Consider the following 24,626-nt stretch of genomic DNA (forward strand, 5'->3'; position numbering starts at 1 on the left):
AGAAGGGAGGGAATATTCATCCTATTTAATTTCCCCTGCAAAAAGAAGAGGGGATGGATACTCTTCATTTTACAAAATGACTAAAGACTTAATCACCAAATGCAATCAATGCATGAATCTTGACTGACTACAACTGGGGGCAGAACCCTCAAAGACACTTTGGAACAACTGAGGAATTTTGAAGATGGAGTTGTTAATTTTGATAGGCATTAATAATGATACTGGGGTTAGTAGGAGAATGTCCCTATTTTTAGGAAACACATGCCGAAATATTTGAGGATTACAGTGTTTGCAGCTTACTTTCAAATAATTACACACATACAGAGAAAGACAGGAAACAATATGGCAAAAATGCTAATCACTGAGTTGGTTATTCATTGCATTGATTAGCATTTTTATTCATTGCATGAATAACCGATCACAATTGTATAGAACGAACCTCTATACGACTAAAATTTTTCATAACAAAGTTAATAAAATTGTACTTCTATTGAGAAGTACGGTAGAAAGTACACGAAAGTACATCTATACTGGAATTATATTTGGGTTGAAATCTAAACTATCTTACTAGTTGTGTGCCCTAAGGCAAGTTGTAATTCTTCGTATCACTAAGTTTGTCACTTCTATAAAATTCAAGTAATAATATCTGCATCATTAGGTTGTTCTGAGAATTAAATAATTACAAATGCAAAAATGCCAAGCAGTACTGCACAAAATGAATAATCTGGTTTTCATAATTAATCAGTACATTACTAATAATCCTAAAATACAAAACTAAAGGACTACGTTCATTATATTCACATTCTATGATAAGGGGAAACTACATTAGGTAAAATTATTATTAATCCACTGACAGTCCAAGTGAAGTAATGGGGGAAATGAAGATTTATACAGTATTTTTTAAACCCAAGAATTCCAACTGAACACCTAGAGAAAAGGAAATCAAAATCGTGCAGCTTGCTTCCGGTATCAGCCGATCTCCAAATAAAGCATTAAGAAAATAAGTGGAAGTTATGGAGAATTTCTTCCTGACTTCAAGAGATTATCTACTTACACGCTGAAAAAGAAATTAAGTTTTTGTCTTCATTTTTGTAAGTTCCAAAAAAAAGCACACAATTACGGGGTTTTATTGTAAATTCTGCTTGGATTCATAGAACTCACATGGACGCAATTTCCTTTTAATCAGTTCTAACGTACCTGTCATTTCTCGAGGTAACCCCTTTTTCTGATTAGGCCAGCAATAAAACGACTAGATGCAGAGTGATCCTCAGGAAGGAAAGGAAAAGAGGTGTGTGTGTGTGTGTATGTGTGTGTGTGTTTGTGTGTGTGTATATATATATATATATATTTTTTTAAAGAAGTGCCATCTTTTTCTTTCTGTACCAGAGAAAAAGCAGAAGGGGAAAGGAGGAAAAAAAACAGGTCTGAGCCTCCCGGGTTCGACCAGGTGAGAGGTGGCAACACTCCGGCCGCTCCGGGTTAGGGTGTTGGGCAAATGGGCGTGCAAAGGACGGGCAGCTCCCTGGAAGGTCGGGGTAACTGCTCCGGGACCGCGGGGCCCAAGGCCGGTCTCCTCCCAGAAGGATTAAATGCCACCGAGGGGATCCCGTGGGGTGTCTCCCGGCGCGGACTAGGCTGACAGACCCGGCTCTCCGCTCCCTTCGGCGCCAGGTGGGGGCCACGCGGTGTCAGCCACGGGCAGCGTGCAGGGGCCGTCCCCCGCGCGACCGGAGCCCGCCCTCCCCTCCCCGTTACCTGCGGGCGGCGGCGCCGGGCCCGGAGGCCTGCTGCTCCTCCTCCTTCTCCCGCCAGGCTGGGGCGGCGAGGCGGCGGCGGCGGCGGCCCGGGGGGAGGGGGCGGAGCGCGGCTCGCTGCCTCTCTCCTCCCCCGGGAGGCTCAGGGGCCCCTATCTCGGGCCGCCGCGCCTAGGCCCGTGAGCAGCCTGTGGTGGGGCATGGCGGCACAGCCACCGGCGTGCCCGCGAGTGGGAGTGCGAGGAGGCGGGGAGGGAAGCACCCCCAGCGCTCGGAGGGGCCAGAGGGGAGGAGCGAGGGGGCCCGGGAGCCGCGCGCTGGCGACCGTTGGGGACGGTTGGCCGAGGGCAGGCGGTTGTTTGGGGAGCGCGGCGACGGCTCGCGTGTTCCCAGCGGGGCGGGGTGGGGAAGGGGAAGGGGACTGAGGGGAGGGGAGGGGGAGGTTGGGAGGGAGCCGCCGCCGCGCGCGTGCGGCCGGCGCCGCCGCCGTTGCCGCTCCGCTCACTCCAGCCTGTTTGGGGGCACTTTGTTTGTGTCCCACAATGCTCTGCGCCGGCGGCCTGGCTGGGGAAGGGGAGGAGAAGGGGGCGGGGCGGAGCGCGCTCGGGGGCGGGGCTCGGGGCGGGGAAGGAAACGTGATGATTGCGCAAGCGCAGAAAATGGGCCCTCTTGGCCGTCGGGACTTGTACTGTTGGTGACTCCGTCTCCTTAGACGGTGGAGCCTGCGTGACCCAGAAAGGCCGTGAGTCTTGACACTGTATTTTTGCATATGTGCGCACATGTGCCGATTTACATTCACATGCCCCATAAGCCCTGTCCCATTTGTCCTTCCTCTAAGCCGTCCTCTTACCCAGTTCCCCTCTCACACCTGAGAAGCATTTCTCCGCAGGAGTCACATTTATAGCATTATTTTTTTCTTCGAACTAAAAACATAACTCCTATTTTCTCGGGTAGTTTTTGTAGGGAGGTCGAAATAGAAACACTTCAGCCCCTCTTCGGCGAGGGAGGTTAGTTGGTAAGGTGCCCATTGTTCACCCATGGAAACAGGCCTGCCAAGGGCCGCCCCGCAGACAGGTGAGCCCGCGCCCCCGTCCTGGGCGGACTGCGACATGCGGCGGGTGTCTGGATTGCGTGGCTCCTCGGGCCTCCTCGCAGTGCTTGCTCTCTTCCGTTCTAGCACTTGCCTCGGTGACCTGGCAGGACGTGCGGTTCTTGAGATGAGTGGAGAAACGGACTCCCAGGTCCCTCTCGTTCTTCCAACACAGGGACAGCTAGAGCTGCTCCAAAAATATACCCTACTTCTTCCACAACCGTGAATCTGTCATTTTTACTGCACCATCACTTACTTCCTGGCCTTCCCGGAGGAAGTGTGCGGGCCTCCCCGAAGTAACCGGTACCGCCCGGGGGGTTTTGAAGTTCTTGGTCAACTGCAAAATCAATCAACCTAGTTAACTCCTAGGGCCCTAAGTCTTGGCTTCCCCTGGCCAGGCGGGCGAGCGCTCTCCACACCGCCCCCGGAGGTCATAGGGGTTCCCGGGACTGCAGGCGGCAGCGCCCCAGGTGCCTGGGGGCGGGCGGGGTGCGGGCAGGTGCTCCTTGGGCGCTTTCTGTTTTCCCACGCCTCCAGTTTGCAAACCGAAAGACTTCTTTCCAGAGGGTTTTGTGCAAGGTGGGTGGACGTCCCGCTGAAGTAGAGTGGATTTTCCTTTTGAAACACTTGGCAACATCTCACATTAATTCACTCTGAGAGACAAGCAGCCAAGCACCTGAACACCCTGACACTTGCAATCTTCTTTAGGAATAAAGGCAATAAAAACAACTTCTGTTTTTATAGTCCTTCGCAGTTTCCAACAAGTTTTCAAGCATGTATAATGTTATCTAATCCTTACGGCAACTGTAATTCACAGGTTTTATCACAGGTTTCTATTATTATTCCCACTATCATTCTTATTATTCCCATTTCAGAGATGAGAAAAATCAGAAAGATGCGAACTAGGCCCAGAAACTTTTGCACTAAGTTTTGAAGAGGGGAAGGGAAAGAAGGCGGAATGCTTACCTGGGAGAGGACTGGCGGCCACAGAGCAGGGCTCAGGAAAGGGCATGAGCTGGGGCCCTGGTGAGGAATGTGTGAGAATGTATGTAGGTGGTAAGCAACTGGACAAGAATCAGGGTGGAAATGAAGTAGTCAAATCCTATCTACCTCTCCTAGTGCCTTTAACAGGATAGTCAATAAAAGACCATGAGGCAAGTCTTTTCTAAGTGCTTCTCCAGGGGCTGTGGTGGCAGCTCCTCAACTACTACACTGACACAAAAATTTGCTTTCCTTTGTAGTACAACTTGAAGTCAGGTAGAGGAATGCCTCTAGCTTTGTTATTTTTGCTCAGAATTGCCCTAGCTTTTCAGGGTCTTTTGTGGTTCCATACAAATTTTAGGATTTTTTTTTCTAGTTCTGTGATGAGTGTCATTGATATTTTGGTAGGGATTGTACTGTACCTGTAGGTGGCTTTGGGTAGTGTGGATATTTTAACAATATTAATTCTTTCAATTCATGAGCGTGAGATATCTTTCCTTTTTTTTTTTTTTTTTTTTTTGTTCTCTTCATTTTCTTTCATCAATGTGTACACTTTTCCGGGTAGAGATTTTTCACTTCCTTGCTTACATTTATTGCTAGGTATTTTATTTTGCTTTTTTGTAGCTATTGTGAATGAGATTGTTTTCTTGATTTCTTTTTCAGATTGATGGCTGTTAGCATATAGAAAATCAACTGTGCTGGGTGTGGTGGCTCACGCCTGTAATCCCAACACTTTGGGAGTCCAAGGCAGGCAGATCACGAGGTCAGGAGTTCAAGACCAGCCTGGCCAACATAGTGAAACCCCATCTCTACTAAAAATACAAAAAAGTTAGCTGGGAATGGTGGCACGCGCCCGTAGTCCCAGCTACTTGGGAGGCTGAGGTGGGGAATCACTTGAACCCAGGGGGTGGAGGTTACAGTGAGTCGAGATCGTGCCACTCCAGCCTGGCGACAGAGCAAGACTCCATCTCCAAAAAAAAAGAAAAGAAAAGAAAATCAATTGATTTTTGTATCCTTCAACTTAACTGAATTCGTTCATCAAAGTTCTGAGAGATGGAGTCTTTAGGTTTTTCTAAATATAAGAACAAGTCATCTGCAAACAAGGATAATTTGACTTCTTCCTTTCCAATTCAGTTGCCCTTTATTTCTTTCTCTTGCCTAATTGCTCAGGTGAGGACTTCCAGAAATATATTGAATAGGAGTGGTGAAAGTGGGTATCCTTGTCTTGTTCCAGATCTTAGTGGAAAGGCTTTCAATGTTTTCCTGTTCAGTGTGATATTAGCTGCGGGTTTGTCATATATGGCTTTTATCATTTAAAAACTTTTCTTCCCTTAGATTATTCCCTTGTCTCCTCTGCCTTTTCCACTTAAAAAATTTTTTTTTGGAGACAGGCTCTCATTGTGTTGTCCAAGAGTGCAGTGGTGCAATCACAGCTAAATACAGTCTCAAACTCCTGGGCACAAGCGTCCTCTGGCCTCAGCTTTCCAAATAGCTAGGACTACAAGTGCGCCACTGTGCCTGGCTAATTTTAAAAATTTTTTGTAGAGATGGGTCTTGCTATGTGAACTTGGGCTCAAGTGATCCTCCTGAAGTGCTGGGATTACAGGCATAAGCTACCATACCTGAGCCCTTTCCTGCTTTTCTTTCTCATTTAACATTTAAATATTTTATCATCCTTCCACTCCACCCCCACCTCAGGTCTGAAGAATTTATTAACGAACAAATGACCGTGAGGCCCTTCAGAGCTCAATGCTAGATGCTTGGAGAGGGTGTGAGAAAATCTCAAAGAAGATTAACTTTGCAGGAGCCCTCTTGTCTGCTTTGGCTCTGGGCAGGGTCAGTTTCTGTGGCTTCTGCAGCCTCCCACCTTTTTCCTTCTTGAGCTGGTAGAGACTTGCCTCTGGGTTGCTGGAATATACACACCTTTCTTTGACACTAGGTTAAATAATACTGCTGGGAGGATTTTGTGAAATCAGAATCCTGTACACAGGTGAAAAAAACAAATGTAGACAGTATGAGGAACCTTTAATTATTAACTTGGTGTGGATGATTCTGAGGAATTCAAATTCCAGGCAAATTCCAGGAGTTATATTTCAGCCACGAGCTCTTTGGGGGAATAAATTCTGCAAAAGATGGCACTTCCTTGTGGAAGACCATTATAACTGAATGGAAACTTAGTTATTTAGTCCAAAAGCATTAGCATTAAGGCATGAATCCTTTCTACCCGACCTTGCCTCCTTATTAGATTAGATTATACAACTACATATATAAAAAATTAATCTCACTCTCTTACCCTAAAATTTATACCTCTTCTAGTGTTCACATTTTACCATTCACCCAGTGAAGCAGGGTGACTTTGCTACTTTACTACTGTATCTCAATTCCAATCCATCAACAAGTCCTGTTGAATGTGTCCCTCTCCACTGCCACCGTCCTAAAATAAGATGATACTAGCTTGTGCCTGGAGAATTATAATACCACTCACGTGGTTTCCCAAATGCACTCTCCCTTTTCCTCATTCTCTACATGGTCGCCAGAGTTGCAATGCATAGCAGTGATGTCAGCCAACAATGGCTTCCTATTGCTCCCCGGATAAAGTCCCAAACCCTCAGCGTGGCTTTCACACCGCTGTGCAATCTGGGCCCTTTCACTGTCTTGAGCTTCATCTCTTAGCTATGCTTTTTTGGGAAATGTGCCAGTTGCAGAGGCAGTTTTGTTTTTTCTTTTCTTTTTTTTTTTTTGAGACGGAGTCTGACTCTGTCGCCAGGCTGGAGTGCAGTGGCGTGATCTTGGCTCACTGCAACCTCTGCCTCCCGGGTTCAAGCGATTCTCCTGCCTCAGCCTCCCGAGTACCTGGGACTACGGGCGCCCGCCACCACGCCCAGCTAATTTTTTTGTATTTTTAGTAGAGACGGGGTTTCACCATGTTAGCCAGGGTGGTCTTGATCTCCTGACCTCGTGATCCGCCCGCCTCAGCCTCCTAAAGTGCTGGGATTACAGGCGTGAGCCACCGCGCCTGGCTTCTTATTCCCCCTCCCCCCCCCCTTTTTTTTTGAGACGGAGTCTCGCTCTGTCACCCAGGCTGGAGTGCGGTGGGCGATCTCAGCTCACTGAAAGCTCTGCCTCCCGGGTTCACGCCATTCTCCTGCCTCAGCCTCCCGAGTAGCTGGGACTACAGGCACCCGCCAACACACCCAGCTAATTTTTTTGGATTTTTAGTAGAGACGGGGTTTCACTGTGTTAGTCAGGATGGTCCTCGAACTCCTGACCTCGTGATCCACCCGCCTCAGCCTCCCAAAGTCCTGGGATTACAGGTGTGAGCCACCACACCTGGCTGAAATGTATTTCTTAAGTAAGACCTGAAAGTAGAAATAGCTCTGTGATCCATGGACAGCGGAATAGACGTTGTGTTAGCAGGCATGGAAACAACATTAATCTTGTACATCTTCATCAGAGCTCTTGGGTGACCAGTTGCACTGTTGGAGAGCAGTAATACTTCAAAAGGAATCTTTTTTGAGCAGTAGGTCTCAATAGTGCACTTAAAATATTCAGTAAACTATGCTGTAAACAGATGTGCTTTCTTCTTCAGGCTGTGATGTTTCATTTATAGAGCACAGGCAGAATTGATTGAGCATAATTGTTAAGGGCTCTCGGATTTTCAGAATGGTAAATGAACATTGGTTTCCACTTAAAGTCACCAGCTGCTTTAGCCCCTAACAAACAAGTCAGCCTGTCTTTTGAAACCAGCCACTGCCTTCTTCTCTCTAGCTATTAAAGTCCTAAATGTATCTCTCTCCAATCTAAGGCTGTTTTGTCACAAGAAGCATAGCTTTCAGCTTATCTCAGCTTTTGATCTGTCTTTCTCACTAAGCTTAATCAATTCTAGATTTGATTTAAAGTGAGAGACATGTGACTTTTCCTTTCACTTGATCACTTGGAGGCCATTCTAGGGTTATTAATTGGCCTAATTCCAATATTGTTGTGTCTCAGGGAATAGAGAGGTCTGAGGAGAGGCAGAGAGACTAGAAACAACTGGTCAGTGGATCAGTAGGAGCACACATGTTTATTAAGTTTACCATCTTACATGGGTGCAGTTTGTGGTGCCCCTAAACAATTATAATAGTGATCAAAGTTCACTGATCACAGATCACCGTAACAGTTATAATAATTAATGAAAAAGTTTGAAATATCGTGAGAATTGTCAAAATGTGATAGAGACATAAAGTAAGCGCATGCTGTTGGGAAAATGGCTCCAATAGACTTGTTCGATGCAGGGTTGCCGCACACATCTTCAATTTGTGAAAAATACAGAATCTGCAGAGTGCAATAAGGTGAGGCACAATGAAACAAAGTATGCCTATATACTCTAATCTGTAGGAATACACCATACAAATCTATATATTGAAGAGGAACTAACCTCAATTTTGGGGGGTTCTAAATTTATAAATCCCAGGGAAGAGACTTACTGGTTTAGCTTGGTTTGAGTACTCATCCCTAAACCAATCAACTTTCTTAGAAGAAAATGCAGCCTGGGCGCAGTGGCTCACGCCTGTAATCTCAGCACTTTGGGAGGCTGAGGCGGTTGCATCACAAGGTCAGGAGATCGAGACCATCCTGGCTAACACGGTCTCTACTAAAAATACATTAAAAAAATTAGCTGGGCGTGGTGGCGGGCACCTTGTAGTCCCAGCTACTCAGGAGGCTGAGGCAGAGCTTGCAGTGAGCTGAGATCCCGCCAGCCTGGGCGACAGAACGAGACTCCATCTCAAAAAAAAAACAAAACAAAACAGAAAATGCAGCTTTCATGCCAGATGTGTGGATGCTATGGGGCAGTTTCTAGGAGAAGGAACTATACCAGGCAGATAATCTCATAGTTGAGCACATGCATATTTCTTTCCATAGTCTAATTTCATAAATTCTCTTGTCTAGCATAATGCAGTTTTCCCATGTAGAACAGACACCTTGCCTACTAAATGAGAAACAAGTAAAAGACATGACCAGCTACTACATTTATCTTTCATTTCCAGAATCTCAGTTGATCAGGTCTGGATGTAGTTGTATATAATTTTGCAATCTATGGGCTAAATGACAGATGTAACAGCCCTCAAAACAATACAGTCGTATCTTTTGCAAAGGTCCTAAGGTCAGCTCCTGTTGTATGAGAAATTACCTTGGGGCAATGGTAGCCTCCTAGACCCTTAGGCAAAGCTATGTCAGGGGAAGACCCACAGGCCAAACTAAGTATCTAGAATCCCACAATTTATTAAAAAATTTAAAACACTCAGTGAGAAGTAAGAGGAAAGAGTGAGGTAGATTAACACCCTTTGGGTAAGGTACAAGCAGGGTGAAGGACCATACTACCTGAATCTAGATTACACAATGTTCATAGTCCTGTCTTTCCCCTTGCTGTGCCAGCTTTTCTTTCTGACGGTGAGGTTATGAGGATCAGAGGTGATGTCTAAGCAAGGGAATCCACCAGACGGAAGGTGTATGGAACCAGTATACACAGGGACTTGCCTATTGGAAAGACATAGGGATAGGTATGCATGGCAGTAGCTGTATCTCATCAATCAGCCTGATGAGTAGGTCTCAATTTCATTTGCATTTTTGGGGCAAAGGACAAATGGGGTTAGAATAATATCAACTATGAGTGGCTGATGTAAGTCTTCAACAATGTCAAGGGCTTAACGTGTCTCATGTATATTTAGTGAATCATGAATATTTGCTATGTCTTGGTCCTTCCTTCCCTTTCTATCTACTTTAGAACATGTATGTTCTAACATGTCTGACATGCCTGTTAGAAATGCTTGTTTCCCAGTGCCACAAAGAAATACCACTTGAACGTAAATTTAATTTTCTCAGCAAGGCCATTTTTACTTTCTGCAGAAAGGGCACACTAGCCAGCTGTTTTGCCACGAGAGTACACCGAACAAAGGAGACAGGGTTATTTATAACCTGACACGTCTACCCTACTGCTGTGTGTGGTTTCCATTGCCTGGAATAGGACCTGAAATTCTGTATTTGTCCCAACTGGCTAGCAACTTAGAACTTTCTAAAAGAGACAAAAGCAGAGGAGAACAAAGGAAGGAGGCAGTAACTTGTGGAATGCTGAGAAAGGTAAAAATACCTCCAAATAAGGAAGAGGAACAGGCTATGACCTAATGCTTGCTTGGACTAGTATAAGCATGCCAGGGCAAATATTTAGGCTAAATTGTGGGAGCTAAGAACACAAAGTACATTGATTTCTTTATTACGGCTAGCAGATATCTGAGAATGTTAGCACAGGTCTTTGAATAAATTTTGCTTCTAAGAGAAGTTACTATTTATTCCTAATTAGACAGGGAGGAAAGTCTTTTTGAAGAGGAACCTCTACTTTACTTTTTACATGCCATTTGCTTCCACACTTGGTTTCACTTAGCCTTTTTATTTTTTGTTTTCTGCTCTATTAGTAAAACTGAAAATTCTCTAAAAATTTAAAATGTGCATTACAAATTGAAGATCATGTATAGTCAACATTACTGTTGAAGATCTCTTAAATTGCCCATAAGGCACAATATATTGCATTTATGAGCCACCTTGGAGGCTGACATTCTGTCTCTCAGTAAGTCCAACCTAGAGGATTTTCCTTGCAGCATTGGAACAGATGGCTCATCCTTCTATTGAGCCCCAGAGGAAGTCATTGGCTTGCATGTAGGACTTCTAGACTTGGACTCAGACTGCTAGATGCCCACACTATGAGAGGCACCTGGAAACAGACCAACTGAGAGAATGACACGTTTGTGTCTTCTATATTCTGCTTACTTTGGGCATTAATTTGCTTAGTCAAATGATGCTTATACTTCCCTCTCTCAAGCCTTCTTCAGTTCATATGAATTAAATGTGTGTACATTCTATTTCTAGGGTAAAAAAGTATTAAATGATGAAAGACAACTAGAATATCCACAATTTTTAAAAAACTCTTTAGAAAAGAAGAAAAAGAAGAGCAACCTACAGAGGTCACTTGCCCAGATCTTATAGCACATCTTGCTGGAGGAAGACAATAAAGTAGATCATAGGGCCAGCAAACTTAATGTGCATCTGTTTGTTAATTTACTTCCTTAAGAGTGGATTAAGTTCAGTATGGCCGCCCCAGGATTCTGCTAGGAGGGTTTTCCTTATTTGTATCCAACAGGGCCATCCCTGAGTATGATGATTAATGTTATGTGTCAACTTGACTAGGCTAAGGAATACTCAAATAGCTGGTAACACATTATTTCTGGGTGTGTCTGTGAGGATGTTTCTGGAAGAGATTAGCACTTGAATCAGTAGATTAAGTAGAGATCACCCTCACCAACATGGGTGAGTGTCATTCAATCCATTGAGGACCTGGATAGAACAAAAAGGTGAAGGAAGGGTGCATTTGTTCTCTCTGCTTGAGGTGGGACATCCATCTTCTTCCACCCTCAGACAGCTGTGCTCCTGATTCTCAGGCCTCGGGACCCAGACCAGGATTTCCATCAGCTCCCCTGGCTCGCAGGCCTTCTGACTTCTGACTCACCATCAGCTCTCCTGGATCCAGCTTGCCAATGGCAGATCGTGGGACTCCTTGCCCTCTAATCGCATGAAACAATGCCCACAGTATGTCTCCTATTAAATAAATATATATCTAATCTCTTATTTGTTCTGCTTCTCTGGAGAACCCTGACTAGTACATTGAGAAACAGCTTGGGGAGGATTCCTCTGAAGGGGACTCTATTTTAGCAGTAGACTCCATGTTGGCGAATACATTTGAGCTGAGTCTTATCTTACGGGTTGAGCAATAATCACAGGTGATTTTGCAAGGATTGACTTTTGTTTTATTTTATTTTATTTTGCAGTGCTTAAGACTGAAACAGCTCATTGCATTCATTTTTGAGGACAGTGTTTGCTAATAACCCAATGCAGAAATCATTTGTGGTTAGGATTATGATCTAATCATTCACCAAACTTATAACAGATGATCTTCACTGGGTCACAAAAAAATTGCACAACAGTGGGGTAATTAATATTTTCTTATAAAAAAATGGAACTCTCATAGTAGCCATCTAGATGGGGGAGAAGGTGTTCTCAATTTTGTTATGTGTTTTTAATTCTGTTTGGCAGTTATATTCCATTTTTCTGGCTCATTCATTCTTTTGCACTTAGAAGACTATTTTCTATCATCTCTTCTGTCAGTCCTCCAATACTTCCTTTACCACTCTCTCTCAGTTGATGCCCATCATAAAAAACTACCACAGGCCGGGTGCAGTGGCTCACACCTGTAATTCCAGCACTTTGGGAGGATGAGGTGGGTGGATCACCTGAGGTCAGGAGTTTGAGACCAGCTTGGCCAACAAGGTGAAACTCCGTCTCTACTAAAAATACAAAAAATTAGCTGGGCATGGTGGTGGGCACCTGTAATCCCAGCTACTTGAGAGGCTGAGGTAGGAGAACTGCTTGAACGTGGGAGGTGGAGGTTGCAGTGACCTGAGATTGCGCGATTGCACTCCAGCCTGGGCGACAGGGTGAGACTCTCAAAAAACAAAACAAAACAAAACAAAACAAAAACAAAAAAAGAACTACTACAAATATGGTGGCTTAAAACAACACACGTTTTTTATCTCACAATCTAGAAGTCACAAGTTGGACAGAAGTCTCCCTGGCTTAAAATCAAGATATAGGCAGGACTATGTCCATTTCTGAAAGCCATACAGAGAAGCCCTTTTTGCCTTTTCTCCTTTCTAGAGGCCACTTGTACTCCTTGGCTCATGGTCTCCTTATTCCATCTTGAAAGCCAGCAACTCTTCTCTGCCCCTTTCCCCATCATCACGTTTCTCTCAACCATGTTCTTCTGCCTCATTCTTCCACTGTTTATTTTGTTTTGTTTTGTTTTGTTTTAGATGGAGTCTCGCTCTGTCACCCAGGCTGGAGTGCAGTGGTGTGATCTCAGCTCACTGCAACCTCCACCTGCCAGGTTCAAGCAATTCTCCTGCCTCAGCCTCCCGAGTAGCTGGGACTGCAGGCGCGTGCCACCATGCCTACCTGATTTTTTGTATTTTTTATAGAGATGGGTTTTCACCATGCTGGCCAGGCTGGTCTTGAATTCCCGGCCTCGGCCTCCCAAAGTGCTGGGATTACAGGCGTGAGCCAACACACCCAGCCCCCTTCCACTGTTTTTAGTAATAGCCATAGTGAAGATATAGTTCACATACCACATAATTCATGCATTTAAAGTGGACAATTTGATAGTTGTTAGTATATTCACGGAGCTGTACATCCATCCATTACCAGAACCAAGTCTGGAACATTTTCACTATCCCCAAGAAACCCTGTGCCCTTTAGCAATTATCTTTTATTCTTGCCCTCATTCCTAACCCTTGGTAACCACTAATCTGCTTTCTGCCTTTATGGATTTTCCTCTTCTGGCCTTTTCATGTAAATGGAATCACACAGTATATGCTCTTTTGTCACTGGCTTTTTTCACTTGGCATGCTTTCAAGGTTCATCCATGTCTCAGTACTTCATTCTCTTCTTCCACTTTTAAGGACTCATGTGATTAGATCGGGCCTACCCTGGTAATCCAGCAAAAGCTGCCCATCTCATGGTCCTTACTGTTTTTTGTTTTTGAAAGAGTCTCGCTCTGGTGCCCAGGTTGGAGTGCAGTGGCATGATCTCGTCTCACTGAAACCTCTGCCTCCTGAGTTCAAGTGATTCTCCTGCCTCAGCCTCCTGAGTAGCTGGGATTACAGATGCATGCCATCACACCCAGCTAATTTTTGTATTTTTAGTAGAGATGGTGTTTCACCATGTTGGTCACGCTGGTCTCGAACTCCTGACCTCAAGATCCGCCCGCCTCGGCCTCCCAAAGTGCTGGGATTACAGGTGTGAGCCACCGCGCCCGGCCCACAGTCCTTACCCTTAATCACATCTGCCAAGTCCCTCTGGCCATGTAAGGTAACACAGTCACAGATCTCAGGGTTTAGGACATGGACATCATTGGGGGCCATTACTCAGTCTACCACAATGAATATCCTTCCTATTTCAGAGAGAAAATAAAAGCAGTCAGAGGAGAATGGAGAATTTCCCCTATTCCCCAGCATGTGGAGCCATGGACTCTGCCTTCTCCCAGTCAAGATGGTACAGAATCTCATATTCCCAGCATTTCTCATCACAGAATTCCCCTTTCTGTCCTGCTAGCAAAGGCCATGCTGCCACTCAGCGCCGGACCCCTTCTCCTCTCGCTTACTCAGTGGCACTGTTGGAGCTACCCTCCCCTCTCCTGCATTATCATTTTACTTTTCTCTTGGATCATTTCAATTGGCCTAAAACAACTTGTAATTTCACCCTTCTGAAAACAAAATCCTTATTTGACCCCTTTCCCTCTTCTACTAGTGCCTCATTTCTTTGTTCCCCTGACTCTTTAAAACAAAACTTCATGAAAGATTTGTCTATGTTGTTTTCAATTTTTCTTTTTCAATTATGGTTTCATTTTGTCAGAGAGTCATTAAACATTTTTTTTTCTTTTTCAATTTTTTTTTTTTTTTTTTTTGCAGGGGCAGGTCTCACTATGTTGCCCATTCTGGTCTTGAACTCTTGGACTCAAGCAATCCTCCCACCTCGGACTTCCAAAGTGCTGGAATCACAGGCTTGAGATACCATGCCCAGCCAATTTATTGTGGTTAAGTATATATAATAGAATTTACCATTTTAAGTGTTTTCAAGTATACAATTCAGGGGCACGAATTACTTTCACAATGTTGTCCAACCATCAACACTGTCCACTTCTAGAATTTTTCATCATTCCAAACAGAAACTGCATACTCCTTAACCAATAGCTTCCATTCTCCCCTGCCCCCCAGCCCCTAGTAGCACCATTCTACTTTCTGTCTCTGAATTCGACTACGCTGGGTACCTCTATAAGTGGAATCATGCAGTATTTATTCCTTTGTGTCTGGCTTCTTTCACATAGCATAATGTTTTAAAGGTTTGTCTATATGGTAGCATGAGTCAGAATTTCATTCCTTTTCATGGCTGAGTAACATTCCATTGTATGCATATAGCACATTGTATTTATCCATTTCTTTCTTGTTTTTGTTCTTGTTTTCGTTTTGAGACAGAGTCTTGCTCTGTTGCCAGGCTGGAGTACAGTGGCACAGTCTTGGCTCACTGCAACCTCCACCTCCTGGGTTCAAGCGATTCTCCTGCCTCAGTCTCCCAAGTAGCTGGGACTACAGGCATGCGCCACCACGCCCAGCTAATTTTTGTATTTTTGTAGAGACAGGGTTTCACCATGCTGGCCAGGATGGTCTCAATCTCAACCTTGTGATCCGCCTGCCTCGGCCTCCCAGAGTGCTGGGATTAAAGGCGTGAACCATCACGCCCGGCCCCATTTTCTTGTTGATGGACACTTAGGTTGTTTCCATTTTGAGGCTATTGTGAATACTGCTGCCATGAACATGTGCATACAAGTATCTGTTGAGTCATTTCTCTTAAGTTCACTACAGTTAGGCTTTCACTCTCACTGGTCAACACAAATTGTTCTTGTCAAGGTCATCAGTGACCTCTGAGTTGCTGCAGCCAATTATCAATTCTTCATTCTCATCTTATATAACAGTGCCATTTGCATTGATCATTGCGTCCTCCTTTAAGTCTTTTCTTCAGTTACCTCCAGGACACCACCACACACTCCCAATTACCTTCCCACCTCACTCACCACCTTAGCCTCCTTTGTTAATCATCCTTGCTGCCCCCTCAGTAGTCTTTGGAACTATTCTCTTTTCTGTCTGTACTTTCTCCCTTAGTAATATCTTCCAATCTCAAGGTGACTCCAACTATTTACTTGACACGTCCACCGGATAGCAGGTGAGCATCTTACATTTAACATGTTGCAGACTACATTCCTGATCATCCCTATCCTCCCCATCAAAATATGCTCCTTTCGGTCTTTCTGAACTAATTCAATGGGATCCTTCTAGTTGCTTAGGCACAAGTCCTGGAATCATCTTTTATTCCTCGATTTCTCTCCCATCCCTTGTTCAGTCTATTAACAAATGCTGTTGGCACCTTCTTTAAAATGTTTACACAATCTGCCATGTGTGGCGGTACACACCTATAGTCCCAGCTTCCATCTACTCAGGAGGCAGAGGTGGGACAGGTGCTTGAGTCCAGGAGTTCGAGTCCAGCCTGGACAACATAGCAAGACCCTATCTTGAATACACACACACACACCCCCACACACTTTGATCATTTTTCTCCATCTTTACCACTACTGCCTTGAGGCAAGTCATCAACATCTCTTGCCTGGATTATTTCCATAATCTCCTAACTAGTCTCCTTGAGTCTTCTTTTGCCTCTCTCCAGTTAATACTCAATACATCAGCAAAATGATGCCATTAAAATGTAAGTTTCTCATGTTATTCTTGTTAATCAAGAAGCATGAAAGGCCGGACTGCAAAGCAGTTAAGACACTTATTGGGGTCTTAGGAATTGTGATTCAGGAGAAACAGATGTGGTCAAAGGCCACATTGTGTTCTGAAAAATAAAGTGGAATAGTAATTTTTAAAAAGATGCCGAGGGTGATTACACTAGTTGTTTTGAAAGAATTATTGTTGGTAGAGGAGGCTGGCTTAGTACATGAGTCCATAGTTCATTGGTTGTAGCTGTTTAGGCGTTATAGTGCTGGCAAAATTTATCTATTTTCCAAGATGTTTTGGTCATGGGGATTTGGCCCAGTTCAAAGGTTTAAGGCAAGTTTCTGGGTTTTTTTATTTCCAAGGTTGCAGGTTTTATAGAATTAGTACTTCTTTGAATGGCTTCCCAATTTAATTTGATTTAATTATTTATTTATTTTTGAGACAGGGTCTCACTCTGTCACCCAGGCTAGAGTATAGTGGTGTGATTGCAGCTCCTGGAAGCGTTGACCTCCCAAGCTCAAGTGATCCTCCCACTTCAGCCTCCTGAGTAACTGGAACTACAGTCACATGCTATCACACCAAACTGATTTTTGTAGTTGTTTTTAGTAGAGACAAGGTCTCACTATGTTGCCCTTGAACTCCTGAGCTCAAGCAATCCTCCTGCATTGGCCTCCCAAAGTGAAGATTACAGGTGTGAGCCAATGCACCCAGCCCTGATTTAATTTTAGAGCTCTGAACCAGAGTGACGCCATTTTGTATATCACATTTCACATTCCCTGTTTTGATCAAGATCTGACAGGAGGCAGCACTGCTGATCAATTATTATTGGTTGGCCATAGATTTGTTACATATTGTCTTTGGAGCTAGAAATGTCTGTTTTTAGAGTGGCTTGTCCCACAGAAGTGAGCTGTCAAAAGATAACATGCAGAAATTGGCCAAGTTGGAGTAACAGGGGAGCCATTTTCATAAAGAGTCCTGCATTAGTCTATGGCAATTAGCTGTACATCAGGAAAGGCATACATTTGGTTAACCACGTGTAAAGGTCATTCTTCAGCCTTCTTTCCTGAAATAGATGATGAGATTTCAGGAAGGAGATAGAAGGCGATTGTGTTTCTTTTGGTGAGAAGCTTTCTTGGTCAGATAAAGGAATTCCAGAGGGAGACTCTCTGTGCCCTTGGAGAGAGAGGAAAAAGACAAAATTAGAGGGACCTTGATTCTGAGGCTTATTTCTGAGGCCTTTCCATTTTCAAAAGCACTTAACATGTCAAAGCACCATATTTTTGGGGAAACATTCTCTGCAAACAACATTTCCATATGAAACTTCCCTAGATGTTTCACACACTGAAAGCTGAGTTGGTGGCTGTGGAGAGAATATTTCAGTTAATAGCTGAGTGGCAAAGGATCCCATTAACCCAGTCTCCCATTTCTGGAAATAGGCCAGCCCCATTAGACAGCTGTATCTGATTTCAGGAGATGGTGTTGCAGACAGGCTCTCACACAGAAGAAACACAAAGGTTAATGTTTGGAACAGTATAAACCAGTTTCTTCAGAGTTTGGAGGGCAGTCAGTTGGTGTCTTGATGTTAAACTCAAAGCATTCTCAGCTGAAGTAGAAATAGGCGGTAGCAATCTGACAGCTTTTCTGGTCTGTAATTTGCATATCACAAGGTTGTTTATTCATGAGCTTCAGCTTGCAGGCCCTCCAGAAAAAGGTAGTAGCAATTTCAGTGAGTCCAAGTCAGAAAAATGGAATAAAATGTTGGAAACATTAGTTTGGAGACTTGTAACCAGGAAGGAATTCAAAATTCAGTCTGAATTGTAGGCAAATAATAGAAACAATGGTCAGTGGTAGAATCTAATAACAGGTGTACTATAGTTTTTTTTCTGAAACATAATTTTTCAATCTCTAGTCCCCCATTTCTACCAAAGATAAATCATAGCAGAACCAATTTAATTGCAGAATAATTTTAGTCCTATTATACATGGCTTGATTATTTGCATAAAGTAAAGCAGCAATAGTGATTGGCTATATAGGCTCTTTATAAATTGTCTTTGCAGGGGCTTTTTCATAAGAACCTCAGATTATATTTTTAAAAGCTGGCCAGGCATGGTGGCTCATGCCTGTAATCCCAGCACTTTGGGAGGCCAAGGTGGGCGGATCACCTGAGGTTGGGAATTCGAGACCAGCCTGGCTAACATGGAGAAACCCGTCTCTACTAAAAACACAAAATTATTCGGGCGTGGTGGTGCATACTTGCAATCCCAGCTACTTGGGAGGCTGAGGGAGGAGAATTGCTTGAACCTGGGAGGCGGAGAAGATCGTGCCATTGCACTCCAGCCTGGGAAACAAGAGTGAAACTCTGTCTCAAAAAAAAAAAAAAAAGCCTCTCAAGGGTAGGAAGCCACGCCAAGGATTTTCCATCAGATTATACGTGTAATAACTACACAAATTGGATGAATTCTTCTCTTCTCAAGTGAAAGGCAATGGAAGGGGACCGTGGATCAATAAGGCCGAGAGGCGAGACAAAGAGGGCAAAAATCTTTATTGAGCTCTTGGGCGAGGTTCACTGGCCCGCAGGGGGAGGGCCAGGGAAGTCGCGCTGTGCCAAAGGTGCAGCGCGCTTTTATGGATGCTGGGTGAGGAGTGGGCGGGGTAGGGGTGGGGTCGGTTGAGTTTCGCGCTTCTGAGTGTGACACGCCCTAGTGGGCATGCGCGTTAGTCGGGGTGGCGGGAACAGGAAAGGTGAACCCGGAAATGCTGAGTCAGGGTATGTGAGGTGGCGATCGCCATCTTGGAGTCTTCACCGGAGTCCAATCATCAAGGTCCCCAAAATATCTTGAGGTTCCTGGGCCTGTTAGAAAGTGACATTCTTTACTTACCATAGGATCAAAAATCCTTTAAAGAAACTGTATAGACAAGGAACCAGGACAGTCTTTTTCCAAGTCTGTTGACTTTAAAGTCAGTTTCAGTTCCTTAAAGCAGCCCCATCACATATGAAAATATGACATTCCAGCCAAAGCCTTGGTAAAATAACCAGTGTCTCTAATTGTGTCCTATCACAAAAGAAAACAGATTATTACTGAGTTTATTCAAATACCTATATTGCCATAAAATAAAAATACTCATTAATAGTTTCCAAATTTTGAAGATATCAGTTAGGGAGAAAAGTAAATATTTCCATTTTGCTCACAAAAGTATACTTTCCCAATTACTGTAGGTTATAAATAGCTTAAGAGGAAAAAAAGTTTTTTTTTAACTCTGGAAAACAAAACAATTAGCAGCATACCTATAATCCCAGCTACTTAGGAGGCTGAGGCGGGAGGATTGTTTGAACTCAGGAGTTTGAAGCCAGCTTGGACGACATGGCATGGCACTGTCTCAAAATAAGTAAGTAAATAAAAGAATGTTTCAAGCAAAAAAGTCATAAACATCATTTTAGTCATTTATCAGGTTAGTCCCATCTACTTAATTATTGTTCTGTATGATGTCAGATTAGCAATTTTATGAGTCCAGTTTTTTTTACTGGAGTTTCTTTTTTTTTTTTTTTAACCCAGTCCACTTGAATAATCTCAAAGTCGTAAGCAGAGGTCTCTATTTAAAAGTACCTTTCAGAGGCTTTTTCATGAACCTCCTTGAAAATACACCACCTTAGGATTTGCAAAGAGCTCTTAGAAAAAAAGCATCAGAATGAAGCAATTTACCAAGACATATCAAGAGTTTTAGGACTTTCATACAATTTTGGAACATATATTAACACATTTATACAAATATAACTCAAGGAAAATTAAACACGATTTCTAAATTTGACAATGCTTTCTATACGATTTTAACATATCAGATAAGCCCAATATGTCTCTCTTAAGAGTTCCAGGGGCTCTTTTTGGCATGTCCAAAAGTTAGTTTGAAGTTAAAAATAATTTAGAATTCAAAATCTGCTTTTGGGTAGTTTGTCGGATGGCAATGGTTTAAAACACTTGATTTAAAGCTAATTTTAATATTATAAACAGATCTATCCAATCTCAGTCAGCCTTGACCATACAAGATAATGGTTCCACAACCCTTTTATAACTTCTTACAGATTTTTTTCCATTCTCTTTCCCCCCACAACTCTCTACATCCATTCAATTTTGTTTGTTTGTTTGTTTGAGACAGAGTCTCGCTCTGTTGCCCAGGCTGGAGCACAATGGTGGGATCTCAGCTCACTACAACCTCCGCCTCCCACGTTCAAGTGATTGATTCTCCTGCCTCAGCCTCCCGAGTAGCTGGGATTACAGGTTTCTGCCATCACACCTGGCTAATTTTTGTATTTTTAGTAGAGACAGGGTTTCACCATGTTGGTTAGGTTGGTCTTGGACTCCGGACTTCAGTTGATCCACCTGCCTCAGCCTCCCAAAGTGCTGGGATTACAGGCATGAGCCACTGCACCCAGCCTCATTCAGTTTTATCTATTATTTTTAAAACTTTTTTTAAATTTGTATGGGTACCTAGGGGATATATATGTTTATGGGGTGTATTTTGATGCAGGTGTACAATGTGTAATAATCACATCAGGGTAAACGGAGTATCCATCACCTCAAGCATTCATCATTTCTTTTTATTTTGAACATTCCGATTATATTCCCTCAATTATTCTAAAATTTATGACAAATTATTGCTGAATGTGGTCACCCTGTTGTGCTATCAAATACTATATCTTATTAATTATAACTAATTTTTTGTACCCATTAACCATACCTATTCTATACCCCCACTACCCTACCCAGCCTCCGGTAACCATCATTCTATTCTCTATCTCCGTATGTTCAATTGTTTTAGTTACTAGCTCCCACAAATGAGTGCTAACGTGAGAAATTTGCCTTTCTGTGCCTAGCTTATTCCACTTAACATAATGTCCCCCAGTTCCACTCTTGTTGTTGCAAATGACAGGATCTCATTCTATTTCATGGCTGACTAGTACTCCATTGCGTATATGTACCATATTTTCTTCATCCTATCCTGTTGACACTTAGGTTGATTCCAGATCCTGGCTACTGTGCATAGTGCTGCAGTCAACATGGGAGTGCCGATATCTCTTCAATATACTGATTTCCTTTTCCTTGGGTATCTACCTAACAAGGTAATCTACCTTGGGATTACTAGATCATATGGTTTTTTAATTTTTATTTTAGTTTTTAGTTTTATTTTTAGTTTTTGAGGAACCTCTGTACTGTTCCTCATAGTAGCTGTACTAATTAACACTTCCACTGACAGTGTATGAGGTTTCCCCTTTTCTCTACATCCTCACCAGTGTTCATTGTTGTTGCCTGTCTTTTGAATAAAAGCCATTTTAACGAGGGTGAGATGATATCTCACTGTAGTTTTTTTTTTTTTTTTTTTTTTTTTTAAATCAGGGTGCCACTCTGTTACCCAGGCTGGAGTGCAGTGGTGCAATCATGGCTCACTGCAGTCTTGACTTCCCAGGTTCAAGTGATCCTCCTGCCTCAGCCTCCTGAGTACCTGGGACTACAGGCGTGGCACCACCATGCCTGGCTATTTTTAAAAATTTTTTTTGTAGAGATGGGGTTTCCCTGTGTTGCCCAGGCTGATCTCAAAACTCCTGGGCTCAAGAGATCCTCTCTCCTTGGCCTTCCAAAGTGCTGGGATTATAGGCATGAGCCACTACACCCAGAGTTCATTGTAGTTTTGATTTTTCATTTATCTGATGATTGGTGATGTTGAATACCTTTTCATATACCTGTTTGCCATTCGTATGTCCTCTTTTGAGAAATGTCTATTCAATATCATTTTTTATTCATTCCATTTAAACAACCTTGAATTAACCTCCGAACTAGACAAAATTACTTTTCCTTTAACAAAACCCACATATTTATGTTTTTAAAAATAACCTAACAAAAAACACATTCTACTGTCCTTGTCCAATCTGTACACAGAATTATTTCTCTTATATCTAGTAGTTTTAATTATACAAACTAACTACAATTTGAATTCTTAGTGATTCTAAATTCTAGTGAACAACTTAGGAAGTAAGCAGTTTTAATTATTATGTACCAGATACAGAGCCCAGGCCTGAGGACAGGGCTGTGAAGACAATGCCTGTAGGAGCTAACCTCTCCCAGCATGGCCAGGAGGCACAGCTGGGCCAGGGAGGATGTATTGACCTTGGCTCTGCCCTGAAGCTGGTGGCCCAGGTGGTGTAGATACACGTCTCCAGACTTCACCATAGGCATTATCCACACCCCAGAATCTAAAGGCTCGAAATCTAATGTTAAAACCAGCTTTATTTACCAAAGATTACTAAAGTCATGTAAATTTGAAAAGCATTTGGGGCTGGGTGCGGTGGCTCACGCCCGTAATCCCAGCACTTTGGGAGGCCAACACAGGTGGCGCACCTGAGATCAGGAGATCGAGATCAGCCTGGCCAACATGGCGAAACTCCAGCTCTACTAAAAATACAAAAATTAGCCAGGCGTGGTGGCAGGTGCCTGTAATCCCAGCTACTCAGGAGGCTGAGGCAGGAGAATCGCTTGAACCTGGAAGGTGGAGGTTGCAGTGGGCCGAGATTGTGCCATTACACTCCAGCCTGGGCAACAAAAGCAAAACTCTGTCTCAAAAAAGGAAAAAAAAAGAAAAGAAAAAAGAAAAACATTTGGGCTATTTATCAATACTCATTTATTAATAAGTCAATTTGGCACCTTGTAGACAATATACAAACAGACATGTACACATGTATACACAAAAACAGAGAAAAACACAAAGATTTTATAGCTTCAATTTAAAATTTTTTAGCCAGGAGACAGGTAAAACTGTTTAAAGAAACAGTTGAATCATGTCTCTTTAAATGAGACAGTTGAAGTTTCTCTGGCCAACATAGCCAAAGCCATCTCAAAGCGCACAGAGAGAATATTAAGCATTTCAAGAAAGACTTTGGGTGAGTTAGAGGATTATTACAAATGGATGCCAAGGTAATACAAAATCACAGTTATTTGCTACAGCATTTTACAAGGAAAACATACAGATGAACTTAAGAGAACATTCAGAAACCTTTTCAAAATAAACTGGATGCCGGAAAGGAATATTTTGTAAACCAGTCTAGTTACATATGTGGCTAATTCAGTCTTTACTTTCTAACTGGAATACTGAGCTCAGGGCAAAGCCCATTAACAGGACCAACAAAGTATTTGCAGTTTCCAACGCCTAATATTTTATGTGTGAAAAGCAGACACAGCTGGAAACTGAACGACTAGATCCTCAGAAATCAAGGATCACATTTTACACTGGATCCCAGACCCCCCAAAAGAGAGATACACCACAAGACGGGGCAGTACACTTCCACAGTGCGCCTACACTTAAAGGGTGACTGACCCAGCACCCATCAGCCCACTCTGGGATCAGCCCAGTCCCCACAGGAGCTTTTTTTTTTTTTTTTTTGAGACAGGCTTGTTGCCAAGGCTAGAGTGCAATGGCACGACCTCAGCTCACTGCAACCTCTGCCTCCTGGGTTCAAGCAATTCTCCTCCCTCAGCCTCCAGACTAGCTGTGATTACAGGTGCCTGCCACCACACCCGGCTAATATTTTGTATTTTTAGTAGAGACAGGGTTTCACCATGTTGGCCAGGCTGGTCCCGCACTACTGACCTCATCAGGTATCTGCCTGCCTCGGCCTCCTAAAGTGCCGGTGTGTCCGGAATTGGTGGGTTCTTGGTCTCACCAACTTCAAGAATGAAGCCACAGACCCTTGGGGGGAGTGTTACAGTTCTTAGAAATGGCGCATTCGGAGTTTGTTCCTTCTGATGTTTGGATGTGTTCAGAGTTTCTTCCCTCTGGTGGGTTCATGGTCTCCCTAGCTTCAGGAGCGAAGCTACAGACCTTCACGATGAGTGTCACAACTTATAAAGGCAATATGAACCCAAAAAGCAAGCAGTAGCAAGATTTATTGCAAAGAAGGAAAGAACAAAACTTTCCCAATGTGGAAGGGAACCCAGCGGGTTGCCAGAGTACTGGGCAGCCTGCTTTCATTCTCTTATCTGGCCCCACCCACATCCTGCTGATTGGTCCATTTTACAGAGAGCCGATTGGTCTGTTATACAGAGACCTGATTGGTCCATTTTGACAGGGTGCTGATTGGTGCATTTACAATCCCTGAGCTAGACACAAAAGTTCTCCATGTCTCCACTAGATTAGCTAGATACAGAGTGTTGATTGGTGTATTTACAAACCCTGAGCTAGACACAGGGTGCTGATTGGTGTGTTTACAAACCTTGAGCTAGATACAGAGTGCTGATTGGTGTATTTACAATCCCTTAGCTAGACATAAAGGTTCTCCAAGTCCCCACCAGATCAGCTAGACACAAAGTGCTGATTGGTGCATTCACAAACCTTGAGCTAGACACA

General features: G+C 43.4%; 1 protein-coding gene and 1 long non-coding RNA gene across 23 annotated transcripts in view, besides 5 other annotated features; one reads left to right on the plus strand and one right to left on the minus strand.

Annotated features, from left to right (window-relative positions):
* Positions 1–2,298, minus strand: part of ZBTB44 (zinc finger and BTB domain containing 44) — an 88,241-nt gene extending 85,943 nt beyond the window's left edge. For 19 of the 22 annotated variants that reach the window (XR_007062477.1, XR_007062476.1, NR_163264.1 and 16 more), the window contains exon 1: positions 1,756–2,298. The gene's annotated coding sequence lies outside the window, so the exon portion shown is untranslated. Of the gene's footprint in view, positions 1–1,197 lie in introns of all 22 variants that reach the window. The other 3 variants (XM_047426847.1, XM_047426844.1, XM_047426841.1) reach the window with 1 other exon arrangement.
* Positions 1,452–1,501: an enhancer, noted in NCBI's record as "active region_5753". NCBI's record gives its function as "activates an Ori minimal core promoter by ATAC-STARR-seq in GM12878 lymphoblastoid cells {active_cell/tissue: GM12878}" and the evidence as "EXISTENCE:reporter gene assay evidence [ECO:0000049][PMID:35858748]".
* Positions 1,592–2,421: a silencer, noted in NCBI's record as "silent region_4080". NCBI's record gives its function as "represses an Ori minimal core promoter by ATAC-STARR-seq in GM12878 lymphoblastoid cells {active_cell/tissue: GM12878}" and the evidence as "EXISTENCE:reporter gene assay evidence [ECO:0000049][PMID:35858748]".
* ZBTB44-DT (ZBTB44 divergent transcript) overlaps positions 2,374–24,626 on the plus strand; it is an 88,665-nt gene continuing 66,412 nt past the window's right edge. Inside the window, exon 1 of the long non-coding RNA NR_148980.1 lies at positions 2,374–2,496. This is a non-coding gene — a long non-coding RNA (ZBTB44 divergent transcript). The remainder of the gene's footprint in view (positions 2,497–24,626) is intronic.
* Positions 2,662–2,761: an enhancer, noted in NCBI's record as "active region_5754". NCBI's record gives its function as "activates an Ori minimal core promoter by ATAC-STARR-seq in GM12878 lymphoblastoid cells {active_cell/tissue: GM12878}" and the evidence as "EXISTENCE:reporter gene assay evidence [ECO:0000049][PMID:35858748]".
* Positions 2,932–3,031: an enhancer, noted in NCBI's record as "active region_5755". NCBI's record gives its function as "activates an Ori minimal core promoter by ATAC-STARR-seq in GM12878 lymphoblastoid cells {active_cell/tissue: GM12878}" and the evidence as "EXISTENCE:reporter gene assay evidence [ECO:0000049][PMID:35858748]".
* Positions 3,332–3,391: a silencer, noted in NCBI's record as "silent region_4081". NCBI's record gives its function as "represses an Ori minimal core promoter by ATAC-STARR-seq in GM12878 lymphoblastoid cells {active_cell/tissue: GM12878}" and the evidence as "EXISTENCE:reporter gene assay evidence [ECO:0000049][PMID:35858748]".

This window comes from Homo sapiens, chromosome 11 (assembly GCF_000001405.40).
Source record: "Homo sapiens chromosome 11, GRCh38.p14 Primary Assembly".
NCBI classification, from domain to species: Eukaryota; Metazoa; Chordata; class Mammalia; order Primates; family Hominidae; genus Homo; species Homo sapiens.